Source organism: Homo sapiens, chromosome 4 (genome assembly GCF_000001405.40).
Source record: "Homo sapiens chromosome 4, GRCh38.p14 Primary Assembly".
NCBI classification, from domain to species: Eukaryota; Metazoa; Chordata; class Mammalia; order Primates; family Hominidae; genus Homo; species Homo sapiens.
Genome location: NC_000004.12, coordinates 13,409,697 through 13,437,457, shown reverse-complemented (window position 1 = coordinate 13,437,457; position 27,761 = coordinate 13,409,697). Strand labels below are relative to the sequence as shown.

The window sequence follows — 27,761 nt, the reverse complement described above, 5'->3', positions numbered from 1 at the left end:
TTTGCAGGTATTTTCTCTCATTCTGTAGGTTGCCTACTTACTCTGTAGATAGTTTATTTACCCATGCAGAAGCTCTTTAGTTTAATTAAGTCCCATTTGTCAGTTTTTGTTTTTGTTGCACTTGCTTTTTGAGGTCTTAGTTATAACTTTTTGCCTATGCCAATGTTCAGGAGGGTTTTACCTATAGTTTCTTCTAGGATTTTTATAGTTTGAGGTCTTACATTTAAGTCTTTAACCCATCTTGAGTTGATTTTTGTATGTGGTGAGAGGTAAGGAAGGTTTCAGTTTCATTCTTCTGTATATGGCTAGCCAGCTTTCCAGCACCATTTGTTGAGTAGGATATCCTTTCGCCATTGTTTATTTTTGTCAACTTTGTCGAAGATTAGTTGGTTGTAGGTGTGTGGCTTTATTTCTGGGTTCTCTATTTTGTTCAATTGGTCTATGTGTCTATTTGTTAACCAGTACCATGCTGTTTTGGTTAGCATAGCCTTATACTATAGTTTGAAGTTGGGTAATGTGATGCTTTTGTTGTTCTTTTTGCTTATGATTACTTTGGCTATCCAGGCTGTTTTTTTTGGTTCCATACGAATTTTAGAATTGTTTATCTAATTCTATGAAAAATGGCATTGGTAATTTGATAGGAATTGCTTTGAACTGGTAGATTGCTTTGGGTAGTATGGTCGTGTGGTCATTTTAACAATATTGATTCTTCCAATCTTTGAGCATAGAATGTTTTTCCATTTATTTGTGTCATCTGTGATTTATTTTAGCAGTGTTTTGTAGTTTTCCTCAGAGATCTTTCACCTACTTTGTCACATGTATTCCCAGGTATTTTATTTTATTTTTTGTTACTATGGCAGATCTGATTTTGTTCTTGATTTGGTTCTAAGCTTGAACATTATTGGTGTATAGAAATGCTGATTTGTTTACATTGATTTTGTATCCTGAAACTTTACTGAAGTCACTTATTGGGTCCAGGAGTCTTTTGGAGGCATCTTTAGGGTTTTCTAGGTATAGGATTATGACGTTGGTGAACAGTGACAGTTTGACTTCCTCTTTACTGATTTGGATGCCCTTTATTTTTTTCTCTTGTCTGATTGCTCTGGCTAGGACTTCCAGTATTATGTTGAATAGGAGTAATGACAGTGAACTTCCTTGTCTTGTTGCAGTTCTTACGGGGATTGCTTCCAGTTTTGCCTGTTTAGTGTGATGTTGGCTGTGGGTTTGTCATAGATGGCTCTTATTATTTTGAGGCATGTTTCTTTGATGTCTAGTTTGTTGCAGGTTTTTATCATTAAGGGATGTTGCATTTTATTGAATGCCTTTTCTGAATCTATTGAGATGATCATATGGTTTTTGTTTTTATTTCTTTTTATGTGGTGAATCACATTTATTGATTTGTATATGCTGAACCATCCTTGAATGCAGGAATAAAGCCCTTTTAGTGAATTATCTTTTTGATATGCTGCTTGATTTGATTTGCCACTGTTTTTGTAGAGGATTTTTGCTTCTATGTTCATATTGGCCTGTAATTTTCTTTTTATGTTGTTCTTGCCACATTTTGTTATCAGGACGATACTGATTTCATAGAATGAGTCAGGGAGATATCCCTCCTTGACTTTTTGGAATAGTTTCAGTAAGATTGGTACCAGCTCTTCTTTGTATGTCTAGTAGATTTTGGCTGTGAAATGCATCTGGTCCGCGGCAGTATTTGTTTAATATATTTTTTATTGCTGATTCAATTTTGTAACTTGTTTTTGTCTGTTCAGGACTTTAATTTATTTCTGGTTTAATATTGAAGGTTGTGTGTTTCCAGGAATTTATCCAATTCCTCTAGGTTTTCTAGTTTGTGCACATGGACGTGTTTGCAGTAGTCTTTGGGGATCTTTTGTAGTTCTGTGCTGTCAGTTGTAATGTTACCTTTGGCATTTCTGATTGTGCTTATTTGGATCTTTTTTCTTCTTGGTTAATTTATCTGGCAGTCTATCAGTCTTGTTTATTTTTTCAAAGAACCAACTTTCAGTTTCATTTATCCTTTATATTTTTTTTTCTTGGTCTCAATTCCATTTAGTTATGCTCTGATCTTAGTTATTTCTTTTCTTCTGCTACCTTTGTGTTTAGTTGGTTCTTGTTTCTCTAGTTCCTTTAGGTGTGACATTAGTTGGTTAATTTGAGAGATATCTGTCTTCTTGATGTAGGCATTTAGTACCATAGCTATACTCTTTGCACTACTTTTGCTGTATCCCAGAGGTTTGGGTATATTATCTATTTTCATTTATTTTAAGTAATTTTTGGATTTTTTTTTTGCCTTAATTTTGTTTTTTACCCAAAAGTCATTTAGAAGCAAGTTGTTTAGTTTCCATGTATTTGTTTGGTTTTGAGAGTTCCTCTTTGTATTGTTTTCTTTTTTCTTTTTCTTTTCTTTTTTTTTTTTTTTTTTGAGACGGAGTCTTGCTCTGTGCCAAGGCTGGAGTACAGTGGCGTGATCTCGGCTCACTGCAACCTCCACCTCCCGGGTTCAAGTGATTTTCCTGCCTCAGCCTCCTGAGTAGCTGGGATTACAGGTACCTGCCACCATGCCTGGCTAATTTTTGTACTTTTAGTAGAGACAGGGTTTCACCATATATGCCAGGCTGGTCTCAAACTTCTGACCTCAAATGATCTGCCCAGCTTGGCCTCGCAAAGTGCTGGGATTACAGGAGTGAGCCACTGCACCTGGCCTGTGTTGTTTTCTAATTTTATTCCATTGTAGTCTGAGAAGATGCTAGATATGATTTTGATTTTTTTGAATTTTTTGAGACTTTATGACCAAGCACATGGCAGTATTAGAGGATGTTCCATGCATAGATGAGAACAATGTATATTCTGTGGTGGTTGGGTGAACTGTCTATAGACTATGCCAAGAGTCTAATTTAATTCCTTTGTTAGTTTTCTGCCTTGATCTGTTTAATGCTGTCAGTGGGGTGTTGAAGTTCTTCACTACTGTTGTATAGTTTTCTGTCACTTTACTTAGGTCTGGTAGTATTTGTTTTATAAACTTGTGTGCTTCTATGTTGGGTGCATATGAATTTAGCATGGTTAAATCTTGTCAAATTGAACCCTTTATCATGATGTAATGCCCTTTTGTTGTCCCAACTTTTATTTTATATTTGGCGGGGGCACATGTGTAGGTTTCTTAAATGGGCATATTGCATGATGCTTAGGTTTGGGGTATGATTGATCCCATCACCCAGGTACTGATTGTGGTACCTAGTAGGTAGTTTTTCAGCCTTTACCCCACTCCATCTGTCTCCTCTTTAGTAGTCTCCAGTGTCTTTTTCTCCCTTCTTTATGTCCATGTGTACCCAGTCTTTGGCTCCCACTTGTAAGTGAGAACATGTGGTATTTGGTTTTCTGTTTCTATGTTAATTCATTTAGGATAGTGGCCTCCAGTTGTATCCATGTTGCTGCAAAGGACATGATTTAGTTCTTTTTTATGGCTGCATAGGAGTCCATGGTGTATATATACCACATTTTCTTTATACAGTCCACCATTGATGGGCATCTAGGTTGATTCCATGTTTTTGTTATTGTGAACAGGGCTTCAATGAGCATATGAGCATATATATATATTTTTCGGTAAAATGGTTTATTTTCCTGTAGTTATATACCTTCATAATGGGATTGCTGGGTCTAATGGTAGTTCTATTTTTAGCTCTTTGAAAATTCTCTAAACTGCTTTTCATAGTGGCTGAATTAATTTCCGTTCCCACCAACAGTGTATAAGTGTTTCCATTTGTCTGCAGCCTCTCCAGCATCTATTATTTTTTTTTAACTTTTCAATAATAGCTGACTGGTGTGAGATTGTATTTCATTGTGGTTTTGATATGTATTTCTCTGATGATTAGTGATGTTGGGCATTTTTTCTTATGTTTGTTGGCTACTTGTCTGTCTTTTGAAAGTGTCTGTTCATGTGCTTTGCCTACTTTTTAGTAGGGTGTTTTCGTTTGTTTGTTTCTTTGTTTTGCTTGTTGAATTAAGTTCCCTATAGATTCTGGGTATTTGACCTGGATACATAGTGTGCAAAATTTTTTTTGCCATTTTGCAGATTGTCTGCTTTCTGTGTTGATAGTTTTGCTGTACAAAAGCTTGTTAGTTTAATTAGATCTCACTTGTCCAGTTTTGTTTTTCTGTTGCAATTGCTTTTGAGGACTTATAAATTCTTAGCCAAATATAATGCTGTTCTTTGTCTTTTTTTTTTTGAACTGTTGTTGGTTTAAAGTCTGATTTATCTGATAAAAGAATAGCAACCCCTGCTCTTTTTTTTCTTTTTTTTTTTTCTTTCATTTGCATGATAGATCTTTCTCCATACCTTTACTTTGAGCCTATGGGTGTCATTAGAGGTGAGATGGGCCTCTTCACAGCAGCATAAGGTTGGTTCTTGTTTTTAAATTCAGTTCCTTGTTACTTTAAATTCCGTTTCTTTTTTTTTTTTTAAATTCAATTTGCCACTCTGTGTCTTTTACATAGTTTAGGCCATTTACGTTCAAGGTTAATATTGACATATGAGGTTCAGTTTTTGTCATAGTATTGTTAACTAGTTTCTTTCTAGTCTCAATTGTGTAATTGCTCTAAAGTGTCTTTGAGCTTTTATGATAGCAAGTATTGTTCTTTGGTTTCTATGTTTAGAACTCCTTTGAGCATTTCTTGTAGGGACAGCCTCATGGTGAAGAATTGTCTTAGTGTTTACTTGTCTAGAAAAACTTTATTTCTCCTTTGTTCATGAAGCTTAGTTTCCGAGATATGACATTCTTGACTGGGGTTTTTTCTTTAAGAAGTCTAAAAATAGGCCCCAGTCTCTTTTTGCTTGAAAGATTTCTGCTGAGAAGTTCACTGTTAGTCTGATGGAATTCCCTTATTATGTAATTTGACCCCTTTCTCTAGCTGCCTCTAAGATTTTTTTTCTTTTGCATTGATTTTGAGTAATCTGATAACTATATGCCTTGGGGATGGTCATCTTGTAGAGCATCTCCCAAGAGTTCTCTTAATTCCTTTCTCTGGATGTTGACCTCTCTTGCAAGATTAGGGAAATTTTCCTGAATAATTTCCTTAAGTATGTTTTCTAAGTTTCTTACTTTTTCTTTTTCTCTCTCAGGAATGCCAGTTTGTCTTAGGTTTGGCCACTTTATATAATCCCATATTTCTTGAAGGCTTTGTTTCTTAAAGTTCTTTTTTGTTTATTTTTGTGTGACTGGGTTAATTTGAAAGACGGGTATTCAAGCTCTGAAATTCCTTTTTCTGCTTGGTCTAGTCTATTGTTAAAGCTTCCTGTTGTATTTTGAAAATCCTGTAGTTAAATTTTCAATTCCAGAGGTTCCACTTGGTTTTTTCTTAATATAGCTATCTCATCTTTCATATCCTAAATTGTTTTTCTGGTTTCTTTGTATTGGATTTCAGCTTTCTCTGGATCTCAGTGAGTTTCCTTGCAATCCATAGTTTGAATTTTTCATCTGTTATTTGAGACATTTCAATCTGGTTAGGATCCATTGCTAGAGAGGTAGTACTGTTCTTTGGAGGTGTCAAAACACTCTGCCTTTTTCTACTGCTTGAATTCTTCTGCTGATTCCTTCTCATCTGAGGTATTGTCGCTTCTTATTTTTGTATTTGCTGTTGTTTTGGGGCTTTTTACTTTTTTAATTCTTTTTTTCCTTGAGGGTATTACTGTAGTGTATATTGTGTATGATTGTTTGGCTTCGTTTCTGGGTGCTTTCAGGGGACCAAGGCTCTGTGTGGGCTCCTTGGTTGTGGGTAGTTTCTGTGTGGTGGCTTTCTCAGATGCTGCTTGTTGTAGCGATATATTGGATATAAGGGCTGACACACTGTCTCCTGTGGGCCTGATGGTGTGGAGGTCTCCAGAATCTTATCTCGTGGACTAACACTAAGCTCTTCTGGTAGCAGGTTTTTAATTTCATGGTGCAGTTCTGGGTATAATCCAGTAGATGGCGCTTAAAAATAAGAGCTGGCAGGTAGGCTGGTGCCATGTGGATGTGCCCACCCTGATGGGGTTGGTGAGAAAATCGTGAGGGCGTGCACCAAGGTCTTGGGAGAAGGGGCAGCGGGTGCACCAGCTCTTCATCTTGAGCCCTTAGGAATGTGATTTGCTTCTTTATCATGCCCTTGTTGCAGGGCTCATAACCTTCAGTTGTTTCTGGATTCAGTGTGGCTGTGGGCCACAGATAAGCCTTTCTGACTACTACTACTAAAATGGGGCTGAGGAGGCAGAGCCTCTTTTCCCAGTCTAGGGCAGGCAACTCTGTGTTCTGTCCTCTGTTGCTGGGTTGCTGCCACTTTTTGTAAGAGGGTGGTGTTCAGCTCGCCCTTTGTGAAAGCCTGAGTGGTCATGGGCTGACGGTGGAGCTACCATGAAAAGCACAAAAGACACTTTCTTTGAGGCATGCCCACTAGCCTGTGGCAGGAAGAACACTGCTGACTCCACAACAGTGTACTGGGGGAGGCCAGGAGATGACCCTCTCTCCACGTCTCTTCATGGGTGTCACTGCTGGCCCATTCAGTGGTTGGTGCTGCACCCGTTTCCTTTGTCCCAAGGTGGGTTTTGGTGGGCTGTTCTTCCCTCTTCCTTTAGGGGTGGCACAGGCTTAGGGTTAGATCTTTGGGGTACCACAGCTCCCTGGGGAGCTTCTGGTCTCCTGTGCTTGCCAAAGTCAGAGTGGGTTATGGGTGTATTTGTGGTGCATCTGGTGAGACAGTGGCTCAAGGGTGGAGATACCCTTGGCACCATGGGTGGAGATTGCTAGGCAGGGTTGTGGCACCATGGGTACACAACCATCATGACACCCACTGTCTCAGTTCAGGTCTGAAGGGAATGTGGGCACATCTGTGCAAGCTGGTCACCTGGTTCTCCATTCCCGGTAAGTACTCAAATCGCCACCAATAGTGTTGCCCTGGGTCATGAGGACAAAGAGTCTACCCAACAGTTTGGTGGTCAGCAGACTGTCACAGAGGTGAGGGGAGTGGAGAAGCACCCCCACCTACCCTTTCCATGGGACTCTGAGTTTCTTGGGTGTCAATCTCTGTTATCCTCATTCTGCTTTCCTTTTTTGCACCCCAGCTTCTTCCTTTAGGCATTCCAACAGATCCTGCTCCCCTCCTTTAGTTTTCCTTTTGGAATGTGTCTATTCACTGATACCTTTGGTCTTCTCTCTGAGGAGAACTGACATCCGATGTCCCTAGATAGCTGTTTTCTGCTCCTTGTTCTCTTTTGATCCATTTTGAGTAAAAAAAAAATTTTTTTTAATATGATGTGAGCAGGGGTTCTGTTTTTTTGCATACAGATATCCTATTTTCTTAGCATTATTTGTGGAAATGACTATGCTTTTCCCACGGAGTGGTCTTCACATTCTTGTCAAAAATCAATTGACTACAGTTGTTTGGGTTTATTGCTGGACTCTCACTTCTGTTTCATTGACCTATATGTCTGTCCTTATACCAGTATAACACTGTCTTGATTACTGTAACTTACTGTAGATTACTGTATCAGTTTTAAGATTTATTAGATTAGTATTGAATAAACTAGATTACTGTAGTAAGTTTGAAATCAGGAAGTATGGTTCTCTCTACTTTTCTTTTTCAGATTGTTTCGACTATTCTGTGTCCCTTACATTTCCATGTGAATTTTAGGATCAGCTTGTTATTTTTCTGGGAATAAGTCAGCTGGAAATTTGATTGGTACTGTGTTGAAACTGTAGATCAGTTGGGGAATATTGCCATCTTTACAATATTTTCTTCCGATCTATTAACATGAGGAGTCTTTCTATTCATTTAGTTTTAAAATAATTTCTTTCAATGTTTTTTCACTTTTGAAGTATAAAATTTGCACTTGTTAAATTTATTCCTGTGTAATTTATCATTTTTAATTCTGTTGTAAAGTTGTTAATGGAAATGCTTTCTTAATTTCATATTTGAATTGTTCATTGATAGTGTATAGAAGTAAAACTGATATTTGTATGTGGAACTTGTATTTTACAACCTTGCTGAACTAGTTTATTTCCTCTAATAGTTTTTTTTGTGGATTCTTCAAGATTTTCAATATATAAGACCATGTCATCTGCAAATAGAGAAAATTTTACTTCTTCCTTTTCAATATGGATGCCTTTTAATTTGTTTCTTGTTTAATTGCCCCAGCTAGAGCTTCATTGAATAAAGAGTGAAATTGGCCAGGCGCAGTGGCTCATTCCTGTAATCCCAGCACTTTGGGAGGCTGAGGCGGGTGGATCACTTGAGGTCAGGAGTTCAAGACCAGCCTGGCCAACATGGTGAAACCCCTGCCTTTGCTAAAAATAAAAAAAATTAGCTAGGCGTAGTGGCAGACGCCTGTAATCCCAGCTACTCGGGAGGCTGAGGCAGGAGAATCACTTGAACCTGGGAGGTGGAGGTTGCAGTGAGCTGAGATTGTGCCACTGCATTCCAGCCTGGGCAACAGAGCAAGACTCTGTCTCAAAAAAAAAAAAAAAAAAGTGAAATTAGAGTATTAGAATTTTTGCCAAATGCTTCTTCGGCATTTATTTAGATGATCATTTATTTTTTTTCCCCTTTATTTCAGTGTTATTATGATATATGTAGGTGTAAATCTCTTTGAGTTTATCCTACTTGGAATTTGCTGAACTTCCTGGATGTGTGGATTAATGTTTTTCACCAAATTTGGGAAGTTTTTGGCTGTTATTTCCTCAAATAACCTTTCTGCTTTTTTCTTTCCTCTACTGGAGAGGAATACTTGGTGCTCTCCCACAGTTTTTTGAGGCTTTGACAATTTTTGTTCACTTCTTTTCTTTCTGTTCCTTAGACTATAATCTCAACCGATCTATCTTCAAATCCTCTGATTATTTCATCTGCATTCTAGAATCTGCTGTTGAGCCTCTCTTTAAAACTTTCATTTAAAAAGTGCTTATTGATTAGTTCAGTGATTTTCATCCTTTCTGGATGTTTCTGACTGATTTTTATCCTGTTTATTGCTCATATTTTATTGTACTTTACATGTGTAATACCCTTTTATTGAGTCTTGAACATTTTATACTCTTCAGGACTGGATTTTCTTCTTTTTTACTTTGGCAGACACTTATTTGTGGCTTGATACTTTAAGGCTTGTTTTCATGCTTTGTTAGGGTGCTTATAAGGGAGGAGACCACCCCTCATATTGTCTTATGCCCAATTTCTGCCTCCAAAGAAAGAAGAAGTAAAAACTGAAAGACAAATGAAATCCACAGGCAGACAGCCCGGCGGCGCGCCCTGGGCCTGGTTAAAGATCGACCCCTGACCTAACTGGTTATGTTATCTACAGATTCCAGGTATTGTATGGAAAAGCATTGTGAAAACCCCTGTTCTGTTCCGTTCTGATTACTGATGCATGCAGCCCCCAGTTATGTACCCCCTGCTTGCTCAATCCATCACGACACTCTCACGTGGACCCCCTTAGAGTTCTAAGCCCTTAAAAGGGACAGGAATTGCTCACTCGGGAGCTGCGTTTTTGGAGACGTGAGTCTTGCCGAAGCTCCCAGCCGAATAAAGCACTTCGTTCTTTAACTCGGTGTCTGTGGGGTTTTGTCGCGGCTTGTCCTGCTACACTTGCATTCTAGGGTTACTTTAGCCCCATTCCAAAAGTGTTACTCTTCTCTGTTCTCCACTGAATGCCCTGAGCATTCAATGAGTTTCTTCCTCTCTCCCGGGTCCGTTTGCATTCTGGGAATTTTTCTGATTGCAGCTTCCTGGTTCTTATTTGCTCAATCTCATGGAGTTCTGCCATATTCACGTGCAGCTTAGTAGTAAAAAATATACTGAAGGAAACCCATACAGATTTCTGGACCTTTTATCTCTGTAGATCTCTCATTTTTGGTAATTTGCGCTGCACAATCCCATGTGTTTCCACTAATTTTTAATTGTTACCTTGGCTTCCTCTATTTGCAAGCTCATACATACTCTCCTTGTTTTCTCCTCTTTAGTAGGTCTAGAAAGTACCTGTAGGCAGAAGGAGTGACTATAAAGCTTACCTTGTTTGTTTCTTGTCTCAGGGATCACATGCTTGTCTTGTCTGACATTCATTGTGTGAAATCAATTGCATTATATATTTTGTCCAATTTGCCATTTGTTTATAGCAAGAGGAAAATCTTGTCCTAGTTATTGTGTCAAAGCTGGAAGCAGTAGTATTTTAAGAAGGCCCTTAAGTCTTCAAATATTTTATATCTTCAGAATGTTCATATCAAATACAATATAGATTTCACCTACCCACCTTTTGGGGTAGCTGTTTTAATGAAGAGAATTTCAGAAACTAGAAACAATGAGAAAAACCTCAATAATGGAAAAGTTTGCTTTAAAATATCAGGTCTATGGGGAATTCTGATCATTTGGATCATGAAACTGAGCCATTTTCTTACACTATACACCTCCTGATTTCAGGCAAAATAAGGAGGTAGAGGAGGATGTTAATGATGATTAATAACCCACACAAACCAAACTTTTATTAGGCAGTTGCCTTGAAAACTCAAACCTCTAAAGTACATGTTATATCCTCTGAATCAAATTAAACTAGGTGTATGGGTGAAAATATTCTCATTAGTCATAATCTTGAGAGTAAAGGTTACCAACACTAAAACTAATAGTAAAATATTTTGAAGGTCAGCCAAATGTTTTGATTAACCCTGTTGAATAATGTGAATGTAATCTCATCAGTATAATAAGGTAATATATTTATTTAGCAAATACTTGTTGAGGACCTGTTATTTCTAGGAATCATGCTAAATACTAGGAATTAAAAATGAATAAGTCATAGTTTCTATTCTTAAGGGCCTGATAGTTTTCAAGGTATAGCCATAAAAATATGAGGAAGGTTGGATTTTTAGTATTAAAAATGGACAGTTGCCAGTTTATGGACATGGAAGGTGGGATATTAAATATGAATCAAAGTAAAGGATCAGTACTTTGTAAATATTTTGGAGCAAAAGTCAAAGCTGTAGACATGGATATAGCATGCTTTGAGGTCTTTTGAAAGCATCTATTTTTTTTTCTTCGTAATTCTCATTGTTTCAAGTTGTCCCTTCATGGTCTCCTCCTCAGAGATTCGTTTCTGATGTTGCATCCTCATTAGTATGTGAAGCTTATAAAATTGGATGAGATGAGGTGGTAACCTGAGACTAAGAAGAGGATGAATTTCTTTTTGCCCTCCCTTCCTCAGTAAGGCTTTTGCATTGAATCTTTATGAAAATCTCATGAGAATTTTGTCAAAAAGATGAAAATGTCAGAGATGATCTCCAGTTTTAAGTTAAGCAATTAGGCAAATTTTTATTCTCTTCATTTTAGAATATTATCTCAAGTTTAAATCTCCAGAGATAAATTTGATGGTAATACAGCCATAAAACTTAAAGTTATCAATGTGATGTTTAAAATCTCATCTTGCTTTTAACCTAACCTTTAATTTCTTTTTCTTTTATATTTCACTGCTATAAAACAAGCAGGTGTTGAGCAGGAATGGATGCAGGAAGTAGTACCTCAAAGTGCTAATCCTATGAGGACAATCACATGTATATTGTTTAGAATTGATGCAGTTCCAAACTGTGATTGCTGTACTGTCATATTTTTGTTGCCACAGAACTTTGTATACATGTGTTACAGCCAAACCAAAACAAACAAACAATACAACTAAAGCAAATATAAGCAACTAAAGCAACAGTACAACTAAAGCAAAACAGAACAAGACTGCCAGGGCCTAGAAAAGCCAAGAACTTTGCCAGAGGTTAAATTAATCCCCCTATAATGACAGTATCTTCAAGATCTTGAAGAAATGCATATGGACCAAATTTGCCGTTTGCTAAGAATTTCTCCTTTTCAATTGCATGTGTACATATGTGTGTGTATGCATGCACACACCCAGCCACAACTTTAATGTAGGATCTTGAGTCCTTTTCATGATGCTAGATTGAATATACCAATGTTGGGGTTTCTGAAGCAGAAATATTGTGTTAAATTATTGTGAAGGACTTCTAGGAAACAGTGTTTGTTGAAATAGTTTTACATGGAATTCAGTCTTTAATTTTAGTATTAGTTTAAGGGAACTTCTTTGATTCCAGAATCAATTGCCTGCTTGCTGATCTTCTTGATAAAATTCATATTGTAGCATCAAATAGTTTCTTAAAAGTACTACATTTGGTACACTTCTAAAACATCAAAAAATGTTTCTTGTCTAGTTTTGATACCAGGAGTGTTGGTATCAAAAATCTTTGATACTGAGTGTGTAACTCTGGAATCCAGATGAAGAAAATGTTCCAAGGAGGAAGGATTCAATATGTCAAATGCTGCTGATAGGTAAGTAAAAGAAAATCAATAATTTACTGCTGGATTTAGCAACAACTCATTTCTTATCTGTATAGAGCAATTTTGGTAAAGTGGTGAAAATAAAAGCCAGATTAGAATCAGTAAGTGTAGATGATTCTTCTGAGGAGTTTGTTTTAAAGAATTCAGGTAAATTGAAGTGGAGGTGGGGGTCAAGAGTTTTTAAATTGCTTTGCTTTCAATTTTAAGATAGGAAAAATATGTTTGCATGCTGATAGAAATGAAATAGTAGAGAGAGAAATTGATGTAGGAGAGAGAGGTTAGAATTGCTGGAGTGATGTCATTAAGTAATTGAGAAGAAGGTAGGATCCAGTCTACAAAAAGAGGGTTTAACTTCAGGAACATGGATCACTTATTGGTTCATAACAGAAGTATAGGCAGTTGCCTGTATACTATGTTAGGTGTATAGATCTGGTGACATTTGGAAAGTCTCTTGACTGTAGTTTCTCAGTGAAATAGGAAGCCTAGTTTTTTTGTATGGGTTGAATTGTCTCCTTCCAAAAGAGATGTTGAAGTCCTAGCCACTAGTACCTGTGGGTGTGATCTTATTTAGAATTAGGGTCTCTGCAGATGTAATCAAGTTAAGATGAGGTAATATTTGATGAGGGTGGACCCTAAATCCAATGACTTACGAGAAGAGAGACATTTTGGCTGAGACCCAGACACACAGGAAGAAAGTTATGTGAAGATGGAGGCAGAGATTGGAGTGATGCAGCTACAAGCCAAGGAATGCCAAAGTTTGTGGGTAACTGCAAATAGCTAGGAAGAGGCAAGGAAAAATTCTTCCTTAGAGCCTTCAGATGGCACTTGGCCCTGTCAACATCTTGATTTGAAGTATGAGAAAATAAATTTCTGTTGGTTTAAGCCACACAGTTTGTAGTACTTTCTTATGGCAACTTTACGAAATATAGTCTTGAACTGAAAATGAGGAAAGGATTGATACTTGATTTCTCATAGATACTTAAAAAACTTTTCGTTTTTTCATCCAACACTTTACATAATAGTAAGCTTCCTTGACATTTTTATTGGCCGATGAATAGAATGTTTTTAGCCTATTTTTAACGGACAGAGCATTTGTTATACCTTCCTCAGCTTTTTACTAGTCTTGGTATAGTTTTTTTTTTAACCTTTTGTACCTCCAAGCTTATGACTTTGTCCAAATAGGTTTTCAAAAAGCTGGTTGCAGCACTTAGAACTGATAGAACTCCCCTTCCCTCCCCAGTGATCTACTGTAGAATCAGCTTATAATTATTGCTTTGATATTTTTCAGTATCCTATTAAAAATATCAAACATACAGAAATGTTGGAAGACTTTTACAGTGAACACTTACTTGTATTCTCACTATCTAGAGCAGGGGTTGGCAAGCTTTATCTGAAAAGGGCCAGATAACAGATATTTTAGGCTTCAAGGGCCCTACAGTGTCTGTTGAAGCTCATCAACTGTCCCATTGTAGTGTAGAAGCAGCTATGGACAATACCTAATGAATGAGTATGGCTGTGTTCCAACAAAACTTTATTTATCGGCACTGACATTTGAATTTTATATTTCACATCATGAATTATTGTTTTGACTTATTCTCACCTTTTTTTTTCCCCCCCGAGACGGAGTTTCACTTGTTGCCCAGGTTGGAGTGAAATGGCGTGCAGCCTCCCGAGTAGCTGGGATTACAGGTATCTGCCACCACGCCCAGCTAATTTTTTGTATTTTTAGTAGAGACGGGGTTTCACTCTGTTGGCCAGGCTGGTCTCGAACTTCTCACCTCAGGCGATCCACCCTCCTTGGCCTCCTAAAGTGTTGGGATTACAGCCGTGAGCCACTGCGCCTGGCCTCTCACCTTTTTTAAAGGTTACAACTGTTCTTAGCTCATGGGCCATAACAAAAAGTGGCAAATTTGGCCCACAGACTACAGTTTGCTGCACCTGATCTAGAGTCCACAATTAAAAGGCTGCTTTGTTTGCTTTTTCATATATGTATCCATCTAAACATCCTTCTATCAGTCTAGTAATTGACCCTCTCTTTGATGCATTTCAAAATAAGTCGCAGACACTATACTTTAAATACTTCCTCGAATGTATCATTACTTAGAGTTTAATTTTTTTTTTGAGGTAAAATTTACATTGAAATGAAATAAAGTTTATGTACTTTTTTTGATAGGCATTTTATTTTTTTTTTCATTTTTAAAAATTATACTTTAAGTTCTAGGGTACATGTGCACAACATGCAGGTTTGTTTTATAGGTGTACATGTGCCATGTTGGTTTGCTGCACCCATTAACTCGTCATTTACATTAGGTATTTCTCCTAATGCTATCCCTCCCCCGTCCCCCATCCCATGACAGGCCCCTGTGTGTAATGTTCCCCACCCTGTGTCCAAGTGTTCTCATTGTTCAATTCCCACCGATGAGTGAGCACATGCAGTGTTTGGTTTTCTGTCCTTAAGATAGTTTGCTGAGAATGATGGTTTCCAGCTTCGTCCATGTCCCTGCAAAGGACATGAACTCATCCTTTTTTATGGCTGCATAGTATTTTCCATGTTGTATATGTGCCACATTTTCTTAATCTGGTCTATCATTGATGGACATTTGGGTTGGTTCCAAGTCTTTGCTATTGTGAATAGTGCCGCAATAAACATAGGTGTGCATGTGTCTTTATAGTAGCATGATTTATAATCCTTTGGATATATACCCAACAATGGGATGGCTGGGTCAAATGGTAATTCTAGTTCCAGATCCTTGAGGAATCACCACACTGTCTTCCACAATGGTTGAACTAGTTTACACTCCCACCAACAGTGCAAAAGCGTTCCTATTTCTCCACGTCCTCTCCAGCATCTGTTGTTTCCTTTTTAATGATCACCATTCTAACTGGCATGAGATGGTATCTCATTGTGGTTTTGATTTGCATTTCTCTGATGGCCAGTGATGATGAGCATTTTTTCATGTGTCTGCTGGCTGCATGAATGTCTTCTTTAGAGAAGTGTCTGTTCATATCCTTTGCCCACTTTTTGATGGGGTTGTTTTTTTTTTTCTTGTAAGTTTGTTTAAGTTCTTTGTAGATTCTAGATATTAGCCTTTTGTCAAATGGGTAGACTGCAAAAATGTTCTCTCATTCTGTAGGTTGCCTGTTCACTCTGATGGTAGTTTCTTTTGCTGTGCAGAAGCTCTTTAGTTTAATTAGATCCCATTTGTCAATTTTGGCTTTTGCTGCCATCGCTTTTGGTGTTTTAGTCACGAAGTCCTTGCCCATGCCTGTGTCCTGAATGGTATTGCCCAGGTTTTCTTCTAGAGGTTTTATGGTTTTAGGTCTAACATTTAAGTCTATAATCCATCTTGAATTAATTTTTGTATAAGGTGTAAGGAAGGTATCCTGTTTCAGCTTTCTACATATGGCTAACCAGTTTTCCTAGCACCATTTTAAATAGGGAATCCTTTCCCCATTTCTTGTTTTTGACAGGTTTGTCGAAGATCAGATGGTTGTAGATGTGTGGTGTTGTTTCTGAGGCCTCTGTTCTGTTAGATTGTTCTATCTCTCTTTTGGTACAGTACCATGTTGTTTTGGTTACTGTAGCCTTGTAGTATAGTTTGAAGTCAGGTAGCATGATGCCTCCAGCTTTGTTCTTTTTGCTTAGGATTGTCTTGGCAATGCAGGCTCTTTTTTTATTCCATATGAACTTTAAAGTAGTTTTTTCCAGTTCTGTGAAGAAAGTCATTAGTAGCTTGATGGGGATGGCATTGAATCTATAAATCACCTTGGGCAGTATGACCATTTTCACAATACTGATTCTTCCTATTCATGAGCATGGATTGTTCTTCCATTTGTTTGTGTTCTCTTTTATTTCATTGAGCAGTGGTTTGTAGTTCTCCTTGAAGAAGTCCTTCATATCCCTTGTAAGGTGGATTCCTAGGCATTTTATTCTCTTTGAAGCAATTGTGAATGGGAGTTCACTCATGATTTGGCTCTCTGTTTGTCTGTTATTTGTGTATATGAATGCTTGTGATTTTTGCACATTGATTTTGTGTCCTGAGACTTTGCTGAAGTTGCTCACCAGCTTAAGGAGATTTTGGGCTGAGATGATGGGGTTTTCTAAATATACAATCATGTCATCTGCAAACAGGAACAATTTGACCTCCTCTTTTCCTAATTGAATACCCTATATTTCTTTCTCTTGCCTGATTGCTCGGCCAGAACTTCCAACACTATGTTGAATAGGACTGGTGAGAAAGGAATCCTTGTCTTGTGCCAGTTTTCAAAGGGAATGCTTCCAGTTTTTGCCCATTCAGTATGATATTGGCTGTGGGTTTGTCATAAATAGCTCTCATTATTTTGAGATACGTTCCATTAATACCTAGTTCATTGAAAGTTTTTAGCATCATGGGCTGTTGAATTCTGTCAAGGCCTTTTCTGCATCTATTGAGATAATCATGTGGTTTTTGTCATTGGTTCTGTTTATGTGATGGATTACATTTATTGATTTGCATATGTTGAACCAGCTTTGCATCCCAGGGATGAAGCCGACTTGATCTTGGTGGATAAGCTTTTTGATGTGCTGCTGGATTCGGTTTGCCAGTATTTTATTGAGGATTTTCACGTGGATGTTCATCAGGGATATTGGTCTAAAATTGTCTTTTTTGTGTGTGTCTCTGCCAGGCTTTGGTATCAGGATGATACTGGCATCATAAAATGAGTTAGGGAGCATTCCTTCTTTTTCTATTGATTGGAATATTTTCAGAAGGATTGGTATCAGCTCCTCTTTGTACCTCTGGTAGAATTTGGCTGTGAATCCGTCTGGTCCTGGCCTTTTTTTGGTTGGTAGACCATTAATTATTGCCTCAGGCTCAGAGCCTGTTACTGGTCTATTCAGAGATTCAGCTTCTTCCTGGTTTAGTCTTGGGAGGGTGTATGTTTCCGGGAATGTATCCATTTCTTGTAGATTTTCTAGTTTATTTGCGTAGAGATGTTTATAGTATTCTCCGATGGTAGTTTATATTTCTGTGGGATCTGTGGTGATATCCCCTTTATCATTTTTTATTGCATCTATTTGATTCTTCTCTCTTTTTTTCTTTATTAGTCTTGCTAACGGTCTATCAATTTTGTGGATCTTTTGAAAAAACCAGCTCCTGGATTCATTGATTTTTTTTTTTGAAGGGTTTTTTGTGTCTCTATTTCCTTCAGTTCTGCTCTGATCTTAGTTATTTCTTGCTTTCTGCTAGCTTTTGAATGTGTTTGCTCTTGCTTCTCTAGTTCTTTTAATTGTGATGTTAGGGTGTTGATTTTAGATCTTTCCTGCTTTCTCTTGTGGGCATTTAGTGCTATGAATTTCCCTCTACACACTGCTTTAAATGTGTCCCAGAGATTTTGGTACATTGTGTCTTTGTTCTCATTGGTTTCAAAGAACATCTTTATTTCTGCCTTCATTTCATTATTTACCCAGTAGTCATTCAGGAGCAGGTTGTTCAGTTTTCATGTAGTTATGTGGTTTTGAGTGAGTTTCTTAATCCTGAGTTCTAATTTGATTGCACTGTGCTCCTTAGAGACAGTTTGTTGTGATTTCTGTTCTTTTACATTTGCTGAGGAGTGCTTTACTTCCAACTATGTAGTCAATTTTGGAATAAGCTTAATGCGATGATGAGAAGAATGTATATTCTGTTGATTTGGGGTGGAGAGTTCTGTAGATATCTATTAGGTCTGCCTGGTGCAGAGCTGAGTTTAACTTTTGGATATCCGTGTTAACCTTCTGTCTCGTTGATCTGTCTAATATTGACAGTGGGGTGTTAAAGTCTCCCATTATTATTGTGTGGTAGTCTAAGTCTCTTTCTAGGTCTCTAAGGACTTGCTTTATGAATCTGGGTGCTCCTGTATTGCGTGCATGTATATTTAGGATAGCTGGCTCTTTTTGTTGAATTGATCCCTTTACCATTATGTAATGGCCTTCTTTGTCTTTTTTGATCTTTGTTTTTTTAATGTCTGTTTTATCAAAGGCTAGGATTGCAACCCCTGCTTTTTTTTGCTTTCATTTACTTGGCAGATCTTCCTCTATCCCTTTATTTTGAGCCTATGTGTGTCTCTGCACGTGAGATGGGTCTCCTGAATACAGCACACTGATGGGTCTTGACTCTATCCAATTTGCCAGTCTGTGTCTTTTAATTGGGGCATTTAGCCCATTTACATTTAAGGTAAGTATTGTTATGTGTGAATTTGATCCTGTCATTATGATATCAGCTGGTTATTTTGCCGGTTAGTTGATGCAGTTTCTTCCTAGCATTGACGGTCTTTACAATTTGACATGTTTTTGCAGTGGCTGGTACTCGTTACTCCTTTCCATGTTTAGTGCTTCCTTCAGGAGCTCTTGTAAGGGAGGCCTGGTGATGACAAAATCTCTCAGCATTTGCTTGACTGTAAAGGATTTTATTTCTCCTTCACTTATGAAGCTTAGTTTGGCTGGATATGAAATTCTGGGTTGAAAATTCTTTTCTTTAAGAATGTTGAATATTGGCCCCTGCTGTCTTCTGGCTTGTAGAGTTTCTGCCAAGAGATCCGCTGTTAGCTGATGGGCTTCCCCTTGTGAGTAACCCGACTTTTCTCTCTGGCTGCCCTTAACATTTTTTCCTTCATTTCAACCTTGGTGAATCTGACAATTATGTGTCTTGGGGTTGCTCTTCTTGAGGAGTGTCTTTGTGGTGTTCTCTGTATTTCCTGATTTTGAATGTTGGCCTGCCTTGCTGGGTTGGGGAAGTTCTCCTGGATAATATCCTGAAGAGTGTTTTCTAACTTGGTTCCATTCTCCCCATCACTTTCAGGTACACCAATCAAATGTAGATTTGGTCTTTTCACATAGTCCCATATTTCTTGGAGGCTTTGTTCATTTCTTTTTACTCTTTTTTCTCTTAATTTCTCCTCTTGCTTTATTTCATTAATTTGATCTTCAATCGCTGATACCCTTGCTTCCACTTGATCGAATCAGCTGTTGAAGTTTGTTCATGCCTCACATAGTTCTTGTGCCCTGGTTTTCAGCTCCATCAGGTCATTTAAGGTCTTCTCAACACTGTTTATTCTAGTTAGCCATTCGTCTATAATCTTTTTTCAAGGTGTTTAGCTTCCTTGCGAGGGGCTCGAACATCCTCCTTTAGCTCAGAGAAGTTTGTTATTACCAACCTTCTGAAGCCTGCTTCTGTCAGCTCATCAAAGTCATTCTCCATCAAGCTTTGTTCCGTTGCTGGCGAGGAGCTGCAATCCTTTGCAGGAGAAGAGGTGTTCTGGTCTTTAGAATTTTCAGCTTTTCTCCTCTGGTTTCTCCCCATCTTTGTGGTTTTATGTACCTTTGGCCTTTGATGCTTGTGACCTATAGATGGGGTTTTGGTGTGGATGTCCTTTTTGTTGATGTTGATGCTGTTCCTTTCTGTTTGTTAGTTTTCCTTCTAAGAGTCCAGTCCCTCAGCTGCAGGTCTGTTGGGGTTTGCTGGAGGTCCACTCCAGACCCTGTTTGCTTGGATATCACCAGCGGAGGCTGCAGAACAGCAAATATTGCTGCCTGATCCTTCCTCTGTAAGCTTCGTCCCAGAAGGGCACCTGCCTGTACGAGGTGTCGGTTGGCCCCTACTGGGAGGTGTCTCCCAGTTAGGCTACATAGGGGTCAGGGACCCACTTGAGGAGGCAGTCTGTCCATTTTCAGAGCTCAAACCCTGTGCTGGGAAAACCACTGCCCTCTTCAGAGCTGTCAGACAGGGACCTTTAAGTGTGCAAAAGTTTCTGCTGCCTTCTGTTCAGCTATGCCCTGTTCCCAGAGGTGGGGTTTACAGAGGCAGCAGGCCTTCCTTGCAGAGCTGTGGTAGGCTTCACCCAGTTTGAGCTTCCTGGCCACTTTGTTTACCAACTCAAGCCTCAGCAATGGAGGATGCCCCTCCCTCTGCCAGGCGGCTGCCTCACAGGTCGATCGCAGACTGCTGCACTGCTAGTGAGCAAGGCTCTATAGGCATGGGACCTGCCGAGCCATGTGCAGGATATAATCTCCTGATGTGCCGTTTGCTAAGACCATTGGAAAAGCGCAGTATTTGAGTGGGAGTGTCCCAATTTTCCAGGTACAGTCTGTCATGGCTTCCTTGGCTAGGAAAGGGAAATCCCCCGACCCCTTGTGTTTCCTGGGTGAAGTGATGCCCCGCCCTGCTTCGGCTTGCCATCCATGGGCTGCATCCACTGTCCTACCAGTCCCAATGAGATGAACCATGTACCTCTTTTGGAAATGCAGAAATCACCATCTTCTGTGTTGATCACACTGGGAGCTGCAGACTGGAGCTGTTTCTATTTGGCCATCTTGGAATGGAATCTTCGTTTGTGTGCATTTAATGAGTTTTGACAGATCATATACTTATATAATCTAAATTCTTATCAAGATATAGAATATTACCATTACTTCAGAAAGTTTGCATTCAGTCTTCATCCCCACCCCCATTCTTAATTATTTACTCCATGGGTTGGTTTTGCCTGTTCTAGAATTTCATATAAATGGAATCATCCATTATATTGTTCTGCCTTTAATTTTTCTCTGTATTTCTATTCTCTTAGAATTTATCTTTTAAACTTGGCTATGTTGTTAAACATACTGTGTCCGGAATTGGTGGGTTCTTGGTCTCACTGACTTCAAGAATGAAGCCGCGGACCCTCGCGGTGAGTGTTACAGTTCTTAAAGGCGGCGTGTCTGGAGTTTGTTCCTTCTGATGTTTGGATATATTCGGAGTTTCTTCCTTCTGGTGGGTTTGTGGTCTCGCTGGCTCAGGAGTGAAGCTGCAGACCTTCGCAGTGAGTGTTACAGCTCATAAAGGCAGTGTGGACCAAAAGAGTGAGCAGCAGCAAGATTTATTGCAAAGAGTGAAAGAACAAAGCTTCCACAGTGTGGAAGGGGACCTGAGCAGGTTGCTACTGCTGGCTTGGGCAGCCTGCTTTTATTTTCTTATCTGGCCCCACCCACATCCTGCTGATTGCTCCATTTTACAGAGAGCCGAGTCTGTTTTGACAGGGTGCTGATTGGTGTGTTTACAATCCCTGAGCTAGACACAAAGGTTCTCCAAGTCCCTAACAGAGTAGCTAGATACAGAGTGTCGATTGGTACATTCACAAACCCTGAGCCAGACACAAGGTGCTGATTGGTGTGTTTACAAACCTTGAGCTAGATACAGAGTGCCGATTGGTGTATTTACAATCCCCTAGCTAGACATAAAGGTTCTCCAAGTCCCCACCAGTCAGGAGCCCAGCTGGCTTCACCCAGTGGATCCTGCACTGGGGCTGCAGGTGGAGCTGCCTGCCAGTCCCATGCCGTGCGCCCGCACGCCTCAGCCTTTGCGTGGTCATTGGGACCGGGCGCCGTAGAGCAGGGGATGGTGCTCGTTGGGGAGGCTTGGGCCACACAGGAGCCCAGGGTGGCGTGGTTGGAGGGGGCGGGGGAGGCTCAGGCATGGCGGGCTGCAGGCAGCTAAGGCCCGGCAAGAAATCGAGCGCAGTGCCAGTGGGCCGGCACTGCTGGGGGACCCAGCACACCCTCTGCAGCCACTGGCCTGGGTGCTAAGCTCCTCATTGCCCGGGCCGGCAGGGCTGGCCGGGCGCTCTGAGTGCAGCCCGCTGAGCCCACACTCACCCTGAACTTGCACTGGCCTGCAAGCACCGCGCAGCCCCGGTTCCCGCCTGCGCCTCTCCCTCCACACCTCCCTGCAAGCTGAGGGAGCCGGCTCCGGCCTCAGCCAGCCCAGGAAGGGGCTCCAACAGCCCAGCGGCGGGCACTTCCTCAAGTGCCGCCAAAGTGGGAGCTCAGGCAGAGAGGCCCCGAGAGTGAGCAAGGGCTGTGAGGGCTGCCAGCATGCTGTCAACTCTCAATACTACTTACATATTTTCAGCATTTATATGTGATTGTGAATTGAGTCAGCATATTTTAAAAAGTCAGTCTCTGATAGTCTCTTTTGATGATGTCATTATATCTGCAATTAATGATGATTCTTCTTCCTTACCTATAGCTTACATCTTATTTTTATCTTACTGAATTGTCTAAAATTCTTGAACAGTTTTGAATAACTACTGTGATACCAAGAACCCTTAATACTGACTTTATAAGAATTGCCTTATTTAGTATTTTATCATTCAGTAGGAATTTTGTTTTTGGCTTCTAATTGGTATTCTTTATCAAATTAAGGAAGTTGGTTTTCATCCTGTCCTATTCATCTTCATATTAAGAACATGAGTTAAATTTTATTTAATGAAGGCATATATGATGTTTTCCTCATTTTGCTTATTCATAATGGATTACATAAAAAGATCTAATGTTAAACCAGCCTTGTAATTCCTAAATTAAACTTTTTTTGTCACAGCATATTTTCTTTTATATACTGCTAGATACAATTTAATGTTTTATGTACAATCTTTGCTTTTAAATGAGATTGGTCTGAAGTTTGTACCAGCCTTGTCTGGTTTTAGTACCAAGATTATGTCAGCTTCATAAATGAATTGGGAAATACCCCATATGTTTCTGTTTACTGTAGTTGGTTGAAGTGACATAGGAACTATATTTTCGGAAGGTATGGTATAACTTATTTATAAAATCATCAGGATTTTGGTACCTCTTTTGGAGTTAGATCTTTTACTACCTGTTATAGTTCCCCTTTGATACGAGAATTTGGTGTTGCTTCTTTTATTCCCAGTCAGTTTGGGTTATTTATATTTTCATGGATGATTTGATCTAGATTTTTGAATTATGGGTGCATGGCCAAATGACTTTCCCTTACAGCTTAAGTGTCTGATCTTCAATTAAACAATGTAGCTCTGTTCCCGTGGTAACCTGTTAAGGTAGTATGTGTCAATAACATTACTGCAGAACATTTTTATGATAAAAATGAAACCTGATTAGTTAATAACAGCTGGACTGGGAGGGACCAGAGATGAACTATAAATACTGTTAGAAACCGTAGCTTTTGGGCTTTTCTGAGTGCAGAGACTCGTGCGTGGCTTGTCATTTGGAGGGGCTCTGGAATCTTTGCTTATGGAATGTTACAAGAGAAATTGGCTCTTGTGGAACGGGGCTTCTGAGCTGACCATATACCCATGTGTCATTGTCATATGCTCATATTTGTGCTGTCACTTGAGGAGAAAATAGCTCCTAGACTGCTGTGTAATCTGTAGTTTCCCTCTGAGAAAGACTAGATGCTGGCCAGCTGGCAAGCTATAGTTCTTGTCTTCTATATTTTGGAATAGACTTATGCCAAATGTGGCCTGTGGTCATTTTTGTGGGTCTGAACATTTTAGCACAAGTTTATTGGAATAAAGTTATACTTGGCATTCTCTGTCTTTAAAAATCCCTTCCTCATCTGGGATTATATCCCCTTTTTTCCATTCCTAATTTATAAAAAAACTATCTCTTCTTTTCTTATTTATTACTATCTTTTGTTTTTATACATCATGCATAATTTTTAAAACATTCATTTTCTCTCTTAAAACTTTATGCTTTTTCTCTGCGGGTTCATTAATTTTGGGTTCATTTTCTCTCTTAAAACTTTATGCTTTTTTCTCTGCGGGTACTATTAAATAGTGTGACAAGAGCCGAATAAAGAGTAGTCTTCTTTTTACAAAGAAGGGCTGCTAGGATCTTTATTCCTTGAGTTACTGCATGTGCAGAAATATTCTTGGTTTTAAGTTTAAATAACATACTGGCTGGACAGCAGATTAGTTTGCCACACTTTATTTCCTTCAGAAGTCTGTGTCACCATGCTGTTTTTCAGTATTGAATTTCAAAAAGTCTAAGGAAAGTTTGATTTTTTAATATTATAATTAATGACTTAAATTTTTTGTCAGTATGTCCCAAAGATTCTTTCTTAGATTTCAAGATAAGATACATTGATATGTATTGATTATTCTGTATCTGTTTATTGGGGTGGAGAGATTGATGGATAACATATACCTTTCAAACAAATAGATTTAAATCCTTCCATTTTTTTGTGAAATTATTTTTTTCTGTTCTGTTATTTTTTCGGGGACACCAGTTATCTGCATATTAGATATTTGCTTGTCTTCTATATTTTTTTCTCTCCTTTTTACACTTTTTAAGTTTTTATTTCCTTGTAGTTGCATTTCTCAATCTTGTCTTTCATGTCCCTTATCTTTTCAGTAGTGTCTTTTTCTGCTGCTTCTAATTTAGCTTTGATTTCTTCAGTATCTTTTTAAGCTATTTGCTCAGGTTTCATCACTTCCTATTATCTTACCATAACTTCTCTGAGTTTTTGTATCTCTGCTTTCTTATTTTATAGAAGTAGTTGTGTAATTAAGTTTTAAAAATATATGGTAATATTTAGTCACAACTTTCATTTGCTCCATGGCTACTCATTTCCTGTAAGTCTCTTTGTCTTTAGTTTTTTTCTTATTCTTTTTGTTTTCTTGTTGTGCCTTTGTATAAAGTCTGTGCTGATTCCTGTATTATTATTCTTCACTTTTTAGTGAGGTAAATTTTTTCCCGCAGCAACTCACCCTCCTCCTACTCCCCCAAATCTTCCCTACTTCTCTCTCCTTTTTTGCCAGTCTTTTTAAAGAGGCTCTTAGAACAGAGAGGTCAAGGCCATGTTCTAGGTTAAGAATAATTTTTCTTACGACACAGGGTTGTTTGTGTGAGAATATATATTTTAATTGTTCTTCCCCCCAGCCACAGATTGACATTAGATAGTTGCTTGCGGTGTATAGATCCCCACTTCTCCTCCCACCCCCAGCTCTCCTGAATATATGAACAGATTGCTTACTAGCAATCTGAGCATTGATGCTTTGGTCTGTTGTGATCTAGGGAAACTCTTGCGCCACCTGGATCTCAGAAGTTCTGGATGTTCTAAAGGAGTTTTCTGTGTTTTGCAGTCTGGATAGCTCTCCTCTGTTAGCTTTTACGCTCTTAACCATAGTCATCCTTTCTTGATTTTACATGTGTCAGCCCTTTTTGTTTACCTTGACTGAATTTGCTCCCTTCTTCAACAAATTGTGGTGTAGGGGCTGTAGATGTTTCATAGGTTCAGCAAAGGAGAAATTTTCATTTATCTTTTTTTTTTTTTTGACTTTTGAATGGAAAACTAAACTATCTGACCCTGACACAGTAAAATCCTAAAAACATTTTAGAATCATTTTGTCTCTCATAATTTATATAGATAAAAGCCTTGTGTTTTTTCTTTGCCTGTTAAGTGGGTTATTGAATTCATTTCATTAATTAGATCATGGTATATTTGATCTTATTTTTCAGTCTATCATTTGTCTAATACATTTTTCTTTTTTCTCCTCCCTTGTTTTTGTAATCAATTAACATTTTAAAAACTTATTTTTCCCCCTAGAGATTTGGAAATTTTTCTTTTAAATTATATTCTTTATTTTCCAATTATAATTAATCTGATTTTATTTTTAAAATATGTTTTAACAGTAAATTACTCTTAGTTAAATAACATTTAATATTTGTGTTAAATTATTACATTTAATATGTAATTTGGAATTTCCCTAGCAACATAAACAATCAGTGTCTATGGCCTTCAGCCAAAATAACACAAGTATGCTTGTACTTTTGATTTTTACCTTCTACTTCATATTTAGATTTTTGTTAATCTTAATTTTTCTTGTCAGATTGTTATTAAGTTTACATTAGTTTTACAATATGCTTCATATCATATCACATATCACTGGGTTTCCTTGGCTTCTTTTTTCATCAGCTTTGCTTGCATTCAATGAACTTTTTAATGGACCAACTTTTTGTTTTGCCTGAGTACATCAGCTATTTATTCACAAAAGTTGTATTAATTAATGTTTCTTCTGTCTTTGTTGTCTGAAAATTTATTATTTTGCCGACATTTGAACAATAGTTTGGGCTGTTTTTTTGTTCAGAATCTTTTTCTCCTTATAACCTATAGTCATTGTTCTGTTGTGTTTTGGTATTTAATATTGAAAATGAAAAAAATCTGATAGTAGTCTTGATTCTTATGTATTTTTCCCTCTCATTGAGTTTATAGGATTTTTTTCTCTGTTTCTTTGGAGTATTGGGAAATTTATCATGTTGTTTGGATCTTTTTTAAATTAATGCCTGTGGTATCTGGATGGCTTTTATCCGTCTTTAAAACCTGTGTCTTTATATCAGCAGGAAAATTTAGGTGCACTTGTTTTATTATTTCTCCCTTTCTTTTATTTTTTCTTTCTATTACACAGGCATTTGAGCTGCCACAGACATTCTTTATGGCTCCTAAATTAACCAGAACAATACAGAGACCTTTAAGTTCTAAAGACTTTACTTATTCCTATTTAAATATGAAGATGGAACCTTCTTTTCCTTACCTTAGCCTGTTCTTGCCTTATTTTTACAATGTTGATTGTAACGCTACCACACACACAGTTTTTTCTTTTGCATTGTTCTTTATTTTCTTTATTGACTGTTTGCTTGAGGGTTGACAGCTCTGTGGCCTCACATTCATATTTTTGATTGTTTAAGATCTGATAGGAGCTGATAAGGCTTTTAAAATTTATTACCAAGGTCCCTGTTGAGTTTTATTTATTTATTTATTTTTTTGCAGCTCTTATCTTGAAAGCAAACTTTCTAAGTTATTACCTTAGAAATTTTTTCCTGAATGCTGACTTGTGGGGTTTGCAATATATTTCACCCTGAGTGTAGAGTATTGGTAACATACCGGCAATCAGGCTTCTAATGGTAGGTAGGTACTAGATTGGCAAACTAAGACCCTTATCCGTTGTAGGAGTCAGGAAGGAATTTCCTTGGACTGATTTAGGGGATTTTACTGCTCTATCCAGCTGTTCTTCCTTTATACGTGTTTATCAGCTTATTGTTTCATGGGGATACTATATTAGACTGTTCTTACACTGCTATAAAGAACTACCTGAAACTGGGTAATTTATAAAGAAAAGAGGTTTAATAGACTCAAAGTCCCGTAGGCTGTACAGGAAACATGGCTGGGGAGGTCTCAGGGAACTTAAAATCATGGTGGAAAGCAAAGGGGAAGCAAGCATGTCTTCACATGGCAGTGGGAGTAGGGGGAGGTGCTACACACTTTTAAAAACAAGCAGATCTCATGAGTATTCCATCACGAGATAGCACTAGGGGGATGGTGCTAAACTATTAGAAACCACTCCCATGATCCAGTCACCTCCTACCAGGCCCCACCTCCAGCACTCAGGATCACAATTTAGCATGAGATTTGGGTGGGGACACAAAGCCAAATTATAGCAGGCAGGGACCTGTTTCTTTCTGTGGTGGCACTGTATTTGGTTAATTTGGCTAAAGTGGAAATATGTTTCCAAAATTTCTTCATCTGTATTGTTCTGGTTAGCATTGGCCACAAGAGACATTTTGCATGATTTATAAGGAGGAAGTGAAGTGTTAGGCATAC

At 38.4% G+C, this 27,761-nt stretch overlaps 1 protein-coding gene across 3 annotated transcripts in view, besides 1 other annotated feature; it reads left to right on the top strand.

The window, feature by feature from the left end:
- The window catches only part of RAB28 (RAB28, member RAS oncogene family), a 116,617-nt gene that overhangs the window by 46,883 nt on the left and 41,973 nt on the right, over positions 1-27,761 (top strand). The window lies entirely within an intron of this gene.
- Positions 21,366-21,876: an enhancer, noted in NCBI's record as "H3K27ac-H3K4me1 hESC enhancer chr4:13417206-13417716 (GRCh37/hg19 assembly coordinates)". NCBI's record gives its function as "activates a minimal SCP1, AML or CMV promoter by ChIP-STARR-seq in primed H9 embryonic stem cells {active_cell/tissue: H9 hESC(primed)}" and the evidence as "EXISTENCE:reporter gene assay evidence [ECO:0000049][PMID:30033119]".